General features: G+C 42.7%; 1 protein-coding gene across 3 annotated transcripts in view, besides 1 other annotated feature; it reads right to left on the reverse strand.

Annotated features, from left to right (window-relative positions):
- The window catches only part of RNF130 (ring finger protein 130), a 160,109-nt gene that overhangs the window by 145,186 nt on the left and 2,254 nt on the right, over positions 1–12,669 (reverse strand). The gene's annotated exons all lie outside the window — the stretch shown is intronic.
- Positions 4,288–5,054: an enhancer, noted in NCBI's record as "H3K27ac-H3K4me1 hESC enhancer chr5:179488124-179488890 (GRCh37/hg19 assembly coordinates)". NCBI's record gives its function as "activates a minimal SCP1, AML or CMV promoter by ChIP-STARR-seq in primed H9 embryonic stem cells {active_cell/tissue: H9 hESC(primed)}" and the evidence as "EXISTENCE:reporter gene assay evidence [ECO:0000049][PMID:30033119]".

Genomic DNA, 12,669 nt, shown 5'->3' on the forward strand with positions numbered 1-12,669 from the left:
ACCGACAAAACCACTGCTACATGCAGTAACATGAATTCATCTCACTAACATGATGTGAGCAAAAGAAACTAGTCACAAGAAGGCATACCGTGATTCCATGTATATTGTGATATAATAAGAAATACATATTTAGTCTTCATCCCTGGTTTCTGTCATAGAATTCCTAACACGTTAGTAATTTCCTGAGTGACAGGGGTGAGAGGAGCATGTTTTCTTATTCAAAATAAGCCCCTTTCAACCATACCAGCGTCTGTGCTAATAAGGTGACTCTTGGAAGATGGGGTCTGGTTGCCAGAGGAACCAATCATGTAATTAGAGGACTGAAACTTTCAGCCCAACTCCCAGCCCCTCAAACCTCTGGGGAGGGGCAAGGGGCTAAAGGTTGAGCCAATCCAATGGCCAATGACTTAAATCAATCATGTCTGTGTCGGGGTGGGCACAGTGGCTCACGCCTGTAATCCCAGCACTTTGGGAGGCCGAGGCGGGAGGATCACCCGAGGTCAGGAGTTTGAGACCAGCCTGGCCAACATGGTGAAACCCCATCTCTACTAAAAATACAAAAACTATCCGGGCATGGTGGTGCATGCCTGTAATTCCAGCTACTAGGGAGGCTGAGGCAGGAAATTGCCGGAACCTAGGAGGTGGAGGCTGCATTGAGCCAAGACCGTACCACTGCGCTCCAGCCTGGGTGACAGAGCGAAACTCAGTCTCAAAAAAAAAAAATCATGTGTAATGTGTAATGGAGCCTCCCTAAAAACTTTAAACAACAGGGTTCAGGTAGCTTTGGGCTAGGCGTATGCCAAGAGGATTATTACACCCCCGCAATACCGCGACAGAAGCTCCTGGTCATGGGACCCTTCCAGACCTTACCCTATGTACCTCTCCATCCGGCTCTTAATTTGTATCTTACATAACACCCTTTATAATAACAGGGACAGTAAGTAAAGTGTTTTCCTGAGTTCTATGAGCTGTTATATAGCAAATTATCAAACTGAGTAGGGCGTTACGGGAACCTCCTGAATTGTAGCCAAGTCAAGACAGATGTGTGGGTACCCTTTGTCCCACTACCTACAACCGGTGTCTGAAGTAGGGGGCGGTTTTGTGGGACTAGGCCCTTTACCTGTGGGGTCTGCGCTAACTTTACCAGGTAGTTAGTGTCAGAATTGAATTAAACTGTAGGACATCCAATTGATGTTGAAAATCCACACATTTGGTATCAGAGTGCTGCAGGTAAAAAGCTGTCCTTTACACATAAGTTAAGGAACAGGTATAAACTACGGTGTCAAAGCGAGGACAGAAGTTACTGCTGGGGAGCGAGGAGGGAAGGAGCCGTGACTGGAAGGGACCTGAGGTGGTCTGCAAAGCTGGCCACACTCAACTTCTCCACTAGGTTCATGGCTACATCAGTGTGTTCATTCTGTGGGAAGTCATCAGGCTGCAGACTTACGGTTGTGTATTTTTCAGTGTATGTTACAGCTGGTAAAAATGTGTGCTAATTTTTAAAAATCTGGTCACTTTATTCCCCAGGTTAAAATTCTTCAACAGTATTTTAACACATGCTACAACACAGATGAACCTGAGGACATATGCTAAGTGAAATAATCCAGTTACAAATTATGAGGAACTAACCTAGTCGAATTCATAGAGACAGAAAGTAGAGTGGTGTTCGCAGGGGCTGCGGCAGAGGGGGTAATGGAGTCTTGTCATTTAATGGGTATGTTTTTATTTTTTATTTTTGAGATGGAGTCTTGCTGTGTCGCCCAAGCTGGAGTGTAGTAGTGTGATCTCGGCTCACTACAACCTCTGCCTCCCGGGTTCAAGCGAGTCTCCTGCCTCAGCCTCCTGAGTAGCTGAGACTACAGGTGCACACCACCACGCCTGGCTAACGCTAATTTTTGTATTTTTAGTGGAGATGGGGTTTCACCATGTTAGCCAGGCTGGTCTCGAACTCGTGACCTCAAGTGATCTGCCCACCTCAGCCTCCCAAAGTGCTGGGATTACAGGCTGAGCCACTGCACCCAGCTGGTATAATGGGTATAGAGTTTCCATTTTGCAAGACAAAGAGTTCTGTAGATGGGTCGCACAACAGTGGAAATGTACTTACCATGACTTAACAGTTAGATGGTCAATTTATACGTTATTTTACCACAATTAAAAAATCTTAAAACACCAACAAAAATCCCTCCAATAGTTTTCCATTCCTCTTATATAAAGTCCAAAATCCTAACAAGGCCTGGAAAACACTGACTTTTTCAACTCTACTGTGCCCCACTCTCCCCCTTACTCTCTAACTCCTTTCAAATTCCACAAGTACATCACAGTTTTTGCACCTTTTAGTCTTCGTGTATATTTCCTTGGACTGAAACATCCTCCTTTCTGCCCCCTCTCAGTGTAATATCTGCTCATGCTGCCGTCTCAGCTGAAACATCATTTCTTCAGGGACGCCTTGACCACCCTAGACTGAGTCTCTTCTGCCATTTATGCTCTCAGCATCCCGATGCTTTCCCAAGACTATGATTAAATAATCGTGTTATGACCTGTGTAACGGTCTGCTTTCCCCAGATAGGACACAAGAGCTGACTCCTTTTACTTCCCCCCACCAGACAGCAACAGCATGCAGGAACTTCCTGTCCTGTCTGGAACTCAGTAGGTGCTTAATAATTATTTGATGAATGAATACTTGAGGCAGCTGTCCCACAGGAATTTAGGATTTTTCTGATCCAGATGAATTAGTCTGCTGATAACATGCAAATGAGAAGGTGCATCACTGACCTTTAAGGAGTCATAGAAAAGAAATGTTGGAAAACCAACCCGTGTACAGAGCACTGATACGAAACAATGAAGGTGAGCCGTGAAAACAACTGACCCATTAGGGTCCTGCTAAGCCTTAGAAAAATTTCACAAATGATTACTGAAGGAATAATCTGCAGACAGTGTGAAGAGAAAGCTGTAATGGTGGGGTGCCAGCACAGGCCTGCTACGTGAGAGAGGCAGAACGACGGCTCCCTCAAAGACGTCCATCTCCCAATCCCCAGGACCTGTCAGTGAATACATCAGGTTACAGAGCAAGGGGGAACTAGGTTGCAGATGAAACAAGGTTGATCATCGGCTGACTTTACAATAAAGAGATTCTCCTGGACTGTCTGGGTGGGCCCAATGTAATCACAAGTGTCTTTTAAATGTGGGTGACAGACGGAGAAAGTCAAAGTCAGAGACTTGAAGATGGGGGAAGGGGCCATGGGCCAGGGAACACAGGCAGCTTCTACAAGCTGAAAAAGGCAAGGAAATGATTCCCCCTGAGAGCTCCAAAGCCACGCAGTCTTGCCAACACCTTGGTCTCACTGAGGCCAGTAAAACTCATTTCAGAATTCTGACCCCCAGAACTGTAAGAGGAGTAAATTGGTGTTGCTGTGAGCCACCTAGTTTTTGGTGATTTGTTACTGCGGCAATAAGAAACTAACACACCAAGGCTAAGCCATGAAAGATTCACTTCTTTTCCTTCCGTGCAGTGGCTCCTGGCCTAGCCAATCAGGAACAAAGTACATAGAGTATCCTTGTTTTTTCCAGCAAAGCATCTGATTATGTCTTTTATGGTATCATAAGCTGAAGAAACACATGCTAAATGCAAAGTCAATAAAGTGAGTTAGAACTCTGTGAAACGGCCATCCTTGAAGAGTGCTGATTAATGGAATAACGCCCAGCAGCCTAGATTTTTACCAACACACCGCGAGGGCCTGTCCGTTCACTTGCCAGCACTTCCACCCTAACTTAGCGCAGGGATTCTTAACTTGGGGCTTCAAGAGGCAACTGGCCTCCTAACCTTATTAAAAGTTCTGTGTATCTCTACATAAATACGTAGTCTTCTGGAGAAAGGTACACCGCTTTCATCACTTATCAAAGGGGATCTATAAAGCAAAAGGCTAAGAACCACTAACCTAGATGAAGATACAGAAAGCTATGTTCGGCCGGGCGCCTGTAATCCCAGCACTTTGGGAGGCCGAGGTGGGCGGATCACGAGGTCGGGCGATCGAGACCATCCTGGCTAACACGGTGAAACCCCGTCTCTACTAAAAATACAAAAAATTAGCTGGGCGAGGTAGTGGGCGCCTGTAGTCCCAGCTACGCGGGAGGCTGAGGCAGGAGAATGGCGTGAACCCCGGGGGGGCGGAGCCTGCAGTGAGCCAAGATTGTCCCACTGCACTCCAGCCTGGGCGACAGCGAGACTCCGTCTCAAAAAAAAAAAAAAAAAAAAAAAAAGCTATGTTCATGCATTCACTAGTGACACAAGCTGCTAGAAAGAGTAAAGACTGTGGGTGACGCATCAGGATTCAGCAAGTATCCTGAAAGGCTGAATGAAATGGCTGATGGCTTAGGAGCAGCCTCGGTGGAAAACACTGGAAGTTTAATCAACAGTGGGCTCAGGATGGTCTTTTGGAAAAAACCACAACAACTGACGTGACTTCAGGCACATCCAGAAGGATGAAGAAAGTATAGCTCGACTCTCTCCTGTGCTGGCAAAGCTAACCCTGCATGCCTGTGTTCAACGCTGGGATTCTCTTTGTATTAGTTTCCAGTGGCGGCCGCAAGACATCACAAACTTGGTGGCTTAAAACAACATAGTCTCATTGTCTCACAGTTCTGGGGCCCCAAAGTCTGGTGTGAGCAGGGCTGATTCCTACTGGAGGCTCAAGGGAAAAACCACCTCCAGCCCCTCTCCCAGCGTCTGATGGCTGCTAGCCATCCTTTGCACCCGCCGGTTTGTGGCAGAATGATGCCATCTCTGTAACCTCCTTCTTCCTATGGCCGCCTTCTCTGTGTGTCTTCCTGTATCTTTTCCTCTTCTTATAAGGACATTAGTCGTTGGATTTAGGGCCCACAGTAAACTGAAATGATTTTATCCTGATCCTCAACTAATTACATCTGCAGAGATCCTATTTCCAAATAAGGGCACATTCTGAGGTTCTAGGGGGACATGAATTTTTGTGGACACTATTTAACTCATCTCTTAGTCCTTTCGGGCTGCTGTAACAAAATACCTTAGACTGGGTAATTTATAAACAGCACAAATTTGTTTCACATAGTTCTGTAGGCTGGGAAGTCCAAGTTCAAGGCACCAGCAGATGTGGTGTCAGAGCCCGCTGTCTGCTTCATCAATGGAGACTTCTTTGTGTCCTCACATGGCAGAAAAGGGCAAACATGCTTCCCCCTCCCCCAGCCTCTTTTTTTTTTTTTTTTTTAGACGGAGTCTCACTCTGTGACCCAGGCTGGAGTGCAGTGGCACGACCTTGGCTCACTGCAACCTCTGCCTCCCAGGTTCAAGCAATTCTCCTGCCTCAGCCTCCTGAGTAGCTGGGACTACAGGCACGCACAGCCACGCCTAGATAATTTTTGTTATTTATTTTTTTAGTAGAGATGGGGTTTCACCATGTTGGTCAGGATGGTCTCGATCTCCTGACCTCGTGATCCACCTGCCTCTGCCTCCCAAAGTGCTGGGATTACAGGTGTGAGCCACTGAGCCCGGTCCCCCCAGCCTCTTTTATAAGGGCACTAATCCCATTCATGAGAGCTCTGCCCTCATGACCTAATCACCACCAAAGGCCCCACCTCTTAACACTATCACATTGGAAATGGAGCTTCAACATATGAATTTGGGTGGGACACCAACATTGAGACTACAGCACCTACTACACCCTTTAAGTGGAATATTAATAGACAAATGCATTCTGAGGTTTAAGATACCATATTCCCAAGAATGGTCAAAATAAATAGGGATATGAAGCCTAAAGGTTAGAGGACTTGAATCAGACAAGGAAAGTGTCTATAAATACCTGAACCATTTTTTTCCAGATGAAAAAGACTTTCTAACATTGGGTTTGCCAGAGATGAATGTGGTAGACTTCTGTCACATTTGTTCAATCTTAACCTGTACAAGTATCTGACTGGAATGCTGAAGCCTCAGATGGGGGACTTGACTTGTTGACTACTAATGGCCATTACATTCTAAGATTCTCAATCTGTCCCGTTAACTGGCCATTTTACAGAACCCAAGAATTTTTGTAAAGTTCCACTAATATAGCAAACACTGTGGGATGCCAACCAGAGGGCACACACTGTAAAGAAGACATAGAAGCCCTGGGAACTGAAAGAATATCAGAATGGTTTCAGAAGGTGAGTAAGGGTGAAATGACCTGGGGGTGGGGAGGAGGAAGGGGCTGGAGCTAGACCAGGTAGTGAACACCTCATACTGCACAGAGACTTCTGATGTCCGTTCTAAGGATGATGACGAGCCACTGCAGGGGTTTAAGCAAGCAGTAACATGACTGGGTGAACCTTTAAGATTATTTTGGCTACTATAGAAGAAAAGATTGAAAGAAGTTAAGAAAAAAGGCAGAGAGACCAAGAAAAAGAGAGTAGGAAATGATAGTTGCCTGAACTAAGGCGGCAGCCGTGAAAATGTCAAACAACAGATACGTACGATCCATTCTAGAGGTAAATCATGAAGGATGGATTAGATGTGGAATGTGAGCCAAAGAAGCAAGGATGGTCCTAATTTGTGTAAATAACAAGGGTGGATGGCGATGTCATTTATTGAGATGGGAAAGACTGGAGAGCAGTGGTAGCAGATAGGGAGGTGAAAAAATGAATCAAAGCTCCATCTGGAGCTTATCAATTTGGAGATGTCTTTGTGACACTGAAGTAAAGATACCAATAGGAAGCCAAGCGCATGAACCTAGAGAGGCCTAGGCTAAAAATCAAGATACGGGAGGAGGTAACAGGAGGTACGTGGAGAGAAAACAATTCCTGTCTCAGTGTTGTCTTATTTCATTACAAGAAAATATTTTTGGATTACTGGACACTGTTAAGTGCCCATTTGGTTTTTCTTAACATGTCTGATCTCAAACCTAAGACTTTTCCCAGCAACACTCAGCTGTTGAGCTGTAGGAAGCATGAGAAAGACCAACGGTACATGGTTCATCCACAATGGAAATTTTGTGTTTACAAAAGACTTCTGTAAATACAAAATTATTTTTGGAAGACAGAGGAAAAAGAGGTGATTTCATGGAATTACATCAAAAAAGAAGAGAAGTGAGAAGCCAGGAGGGGGCTGAAAGATAACTCATTCTACCCAATGGGGACAAAGGACACAATCACACTGTGCCCAATTCCATTACCGCTGAGAGCCTGCCACAGTGGACTGGGGAAGGAGGGAAGTGCCAGAGAAAATGGAAACACTATGAGCTAGGCAACGTAGGACCTATTATAATAAATTATTTTATGTCCATGGATTTAAGCCTATTTATGGAATAAAATCAATTTAACAGTAGCTTTCCCTGATTTCAGAGTCTCCTGAAATACTGTTTAGTTTGTGCACAATCTCAAATTCCACAGCATGTCACTGGAGTTGGAGAAGATGCTGGGAAAATAATGAGCTTCTCAAATGAGAAAAAATAAAAATAGGGAGCAGATTCATTTGCAGCAAGCAAAGGGAAAAGAGTGGGAATCTTAACTGCATGCATCTATGAAAAAAGCAAATTCATTCAATGGCTTGCAATGACACACACCTGCCCCAGTCACCCTACCTGCCCATAGTCCCCAGAGGCAACCACTTCCAACAGTTTTTAGTTCTTCTGGTGGTCTATTCCACCGTTCCAAACAGGTCTCTAGCCATCATTTCTTGGTTTGCCAACTTTGGAAATTGTGTGCAGATATATGATGTCACTAATTAGGATTGTGTGTTCACTTACTCTTCATCTCCCCTTCTTCCCAATTTTATTGTTATGTTCATTTTCCTCTGTTTTTAAACCTTTCTAGCTTCGCAACTAGAAACTATCTCTTGAATCCCCATCCTGTGAGATGAATACACTGACTCCCTCGCCCTCCCTAACTTTTCTCTCTTCCATTTCTCCACCTTTGTCATCTGTGTTTGTAGAGTCTCAAGCTTTCTGCTCTGTAACTAGAATTAAGTCTTCCATGCTTTAACTACAGATTAGTTCTAAGCAGTGAAAACCACAAAACCAGTAAGAGCATTAATATCATCAGCATATAAATATTACACTAAAAGCCAAGTCCTGAACTAGGATTCCACTTACTTCTCTCTAGGATTCACAAACTGCTCAAAATTATGACATATTTTAGCTTGCTTCATATTTGGACCAAGTTGTCTTGGTCCTAGAGTGCCTCTTTTCTTACTAGAGAAAAAACACGCCTTTTTCAACATTTTCCTAGTATCCTCCAGTTCCTTAATAATCCTAACCAATGCTTGGAATTCATTTTGTTCTTGGAGCTACAGAATGAATTTAAAAAAAAAAAAAATCTTGCAAAGACCTACTCGTTCCTGGTTGTCCCCTTCAGAAGGTACAACTTTTCCCCCTGTCCTTTCATGGAAAATTTTCCCCTTTCATAGTAAAAATTAACAATAATTTTTAAGAGAAATGTCACCCATTATCTAATCGATATAACACAACCATTTTTATGTCTGCATCCTATCTGGAGTCCTCACCCACTGTAAATAAATTTAACACAATCGTAGTTCACAATGTTCCCGTTTTATGGCTGTGTAACACTCCACTGAGTGGATATATCATAATTTATTAAACCCACTTGGGAAGCTGTACAAAGAAGTGGTTAAAGTACAGGCACTAGGCCGGTCACGGTGGCTCACACTTGTAATCCCAGCACTTTGGGAGGCCGAGACAGGCGGATCATGAGGTCAGGAGATCGAGACCATCCTGGCTAACATGGTGAAACCCCGTCTCTACTAAAACTACAAAAAATTAGCTGGGTGTGGTGGTGGGCACCTGTAATCCCAGCTACTCAGGAGGCTGAAGCAGGAGAATTGCTTGAACCCAGGAGACAGAGGTTGCAGTGTGCCAAGATCATGCCACTGCATTCTAGCCTGGGCGACAGAGTGAGACTCTGTCTCAAAAAAAAAAAAACAACTATGTAAAGAAAGAGTTCACAAACACAGAAAAAAATGTTTCCTTCCTTTATAGTTTCTCTCTTTTTTTAATTAAACTTTCATTACCTTGCTTAAGCAGGTATCTTATTCACAACTGCCTCGGAATAACTTTCAATTATTGTCCAAATTCAAATCTATCAAGAAAAGATAAAAATTTTACATATTGCAGACTTTATAAAATTATTCAATCAAAAAGGTAATATCACAAACATTAAACAGTGTCATCCTAATAATGTTTAATGTTTTCACTGCTGCATAATATGTGCATATATGTGTACACATACACACGCCCTCTGATATGGTTTGGCTCTGTGTCCCCACCCAAATCTCATTTTGAATTGTACTCCCATAATTTCCACATGCTGTGGGAGGGACCCAGTGGGAGATAACTGGAATCATGGAGGCGGTTTCCCCCATACTATTCTCGTGATAGTGAATAAGTCTCACCAGATCTGATGGTTTTTATCAGGGGTTTCCACTTTTGCATCTTCCTAATTTTCTCTTGCTGCCGCCATGTAAGAAGTACCTTCTGCCACCCACCATGATTCTGAGGCCTCCTCAGCCATGTGAAACTGTATATCCAATTAAGCCTCTTTTTCTTCCCAGTCTCAGGTATGTCTTTATCAGCAGCATGAAAACAGACTAATATACCTTCCCAATATGACTAATATACTCCCCAACATGAGGGACAAGAACAACACTGTCCCTCATGGGTATAGTCTAGCAAGTTTGTTTAAAAAGATTTGTCTTAGCCTGGGCAATACAGCGAGACCCTGTCTCTATAAAAAATCTATAAAATTAGCCAGGTATCGGGCAGATCACCTGAGGTTGGGAGTTCGAGACGAGCCTGATGAACATGGAGAAACCCCATCTCTACTAAAAATACAAAAAATTAGCCGTGCTTGGTGGCACATGCCTGTAATCCCAGCTACTAGGGAGGCTGAGGCAGGAAGGCGGAACCCGGGAGGTGGAGGTTGCGGTGAGCCGAGATCGCGCCATTGCACTCCGCCTGGGCAACAAGAGCGAAACTCTGTCTCTAAAAAATAAAATACAATAAAAATAAAAATAAAAATAAAAAAATTAGCCAGGTATAATGGCATGCACCTGCAGTCTCAGCTACTGGGGAGACTGAGGCAGGAGGATCAATCACTCAACTCCCCGAGGTCAAGGCTACAGTGAGCTATGACCACACCACTGCATTCCAGCCCGGGCAACAGAGCAAGACCCTGTCCTTAAAATAAAATAAAAGACATGTCTTACCAATTTACAGTCACACCTTATTCAAGGCGGGAGGGATCTCAGAAGTTATCTAGTCTTGAGGCCCAAATGCAGCGCAAGATTAGACAGGGCAAGGTGGGGTGAGGTCAGTGAGAGCTCACAAGCTTTGTCATCTGACAGGTAGCTAAGCCTTAGCTCCCTTCTGCTCCCCTCCATGAAGGTGATTTTTTTTTAACCCAAATCTATGTCTTCATTCCTATTAATTTTTTTAAAGCTATATAGCCCATCATTGTACACATTAAGATCTTTGCAATTCTGACCCTGCTATCAAATATATGTTACATATGCCACGTCTTCATCAAAATCACTGGCACGGCAATAGAAGACCTTCACAAAGAGAAGAGCAGCAGGAGGAAAAATCAGAGGCAGTAAATGTAGATAACGTTTAGAGGTTCGCTGTAAGAGAGAAATGGGGTGGTAGCAGGACAGGGATTTGGTGGAGAGATCAAGTGGTTTTTAAAAAAATTCAAATATTTATAGGCTAATGGAAATCATCATTCAAATGTGAAGGAAAAACACGGTATGTAAAAACATGTCATAAGCTGTAAAGTTCAACATAAATATAATTTATTATATACATCCCCTTTTCTCTTGCCAGCCTATTTATGTTAAAATTTGATTTTTAGAGCCTCCAGCTCTTTCTGAATGTTCAGAGACCCTGCTCCCATGATCATATATCCTTTTTCTCTGAATATTTTGAAATCTGTGTCCAATAGCCCCTGCCTTTGCTGTTATGAATTCAAACATTACATGACCCCTTTCACCCAAATCCTGTTTTCGCATCAATCTCCTCCACTGTTCATGAGAATTTCTAAAAACCGATTTCAGATTCATTAAAGGAACCATTAAAGGCTTCGTCTAATAGGATTACATTTTTAAACATGAAAACCTAAGATTCACTTTTTTGAGTTTTATTGTATCCCTAAGCAAGTTAGCAAAACAAGATTTATTATTTGGTAAAATTATTCTCTAAGGCTGTAACATCCAATCCTGAAAATTTCTATGCAAAGCAAGAAGTGGCCGATACTAAACTCTTCCCCACCAGCACATCTGCATACATAATCACATCATCAACACAGGGCTTTCTCCTCTCCCAACCCCCACTCTGGGGCCAAACAAAAAGTTAGTGTGCACACACATAAAGCACATTTACAATGTCTGCTCCACAGCAGACCCTAGCTAGGCTGCTCCGCAAAGGTACTAAATATTTTGCTCCTAGTTCTAAGCTCACCATTTGAGTAAGTAATAAGAAAGCAACCGTGATCTGTGCATAAATACAAGACATGTTCCTTCAAAACTCCGTTTCTAAACACGAATTCTTTACCAGTTAAAATATAAAATGTGTTAGCCCCAGGCAAATGATTCTACACCCACCAATGCATTCGACTTAATGACAAAGACATATTTTTAAAGTACACTTGTTTATAAGATATCTCATAAAGTATACTACGTAAAGTATAGCACTTGCCAAAATATACTTTTAAAATACCAAAGTGCCTAAGAAAAAAATTGACTATTTGCTCTTTAAAGGGATAGGACAAATAAATGTTATTCAGAAATTCACACGTGCCAAACTGATAGTAGCACTGCAAAGCGAACAGGAAGGTTTCTAGTTTCATAAATCAATCCACAGCTTCAAAATGAGCCATCAGGTTCAACTCTAGGAAAACTATAAAGTTCTTTTGTCTTTATGTTCATTTCTATCAAACACCCTCAAAACAAATTTTCATGAATTTCACGTATTGGCCACAGCTGTTTTTCCACCAGGACCTGTCTGATAACTTTGTGTGTAATCTGAGCATTACTTTGCTTAGTGTCAACGTGCAGTAAGTCCTCAATAAACATGTCAAGAATTCTCCTCAATTCAAAATTATAAGAGCATCAAGGTCATAAAGATGCACTATTTTTTCTAAAACTAAAAAATTGTTAAACTCATTAAATCAAGATTATAATGTAAAATACCCAAGTATTCCAATTTTAAATCATTTTCTTAACACGAATAATTTTAACAGATTTATATCACCATTTCTGTTTCTAAAATAAATTCCTAAGTTCCTACTGCAACAGCAGAAGATTTAGATTTCATATAAACCCATAGGTTTAGAAACTACTGACAGGTAGGCTAACTTACAAAGATCCCAGCAGAAGCTATGCTTCATAGAGACGGATTTTTTTAAATCTGTTTTGTTCACTGCTGTTGCCTCTCCTTCACCAATGCCTTGACTGAGACTGGGCACACAGGATTTCAATTAATATTTGCTGGACTGAAAAACTGCGTATGTGTGAAGACCCTTGGTACAAAGCCAGACTTAAACCACCTGTAGGATCCCCCACCCTCACCCCCACCCCGAGAAAACCTGGAGCAAGCCCCTGTGGGACGGACACAGAATGACCCCTAGGGAATCAAGGAAAGGGAGGCTAAAACTCAAGGG

This window comes from Homo sapiens, chromosome 5 (genome assembly GCF_000001405.40).
Source record: "Homo sapiens chromosome 5, GRCh38.p14 Primary Assembly".
In the NCBI taxonomy this organism is placed as follows: Eukaryota; Metazoa; Chordata; class Mammalia; order Primates; family Hominidae; genus Homo; species Homo sapiens.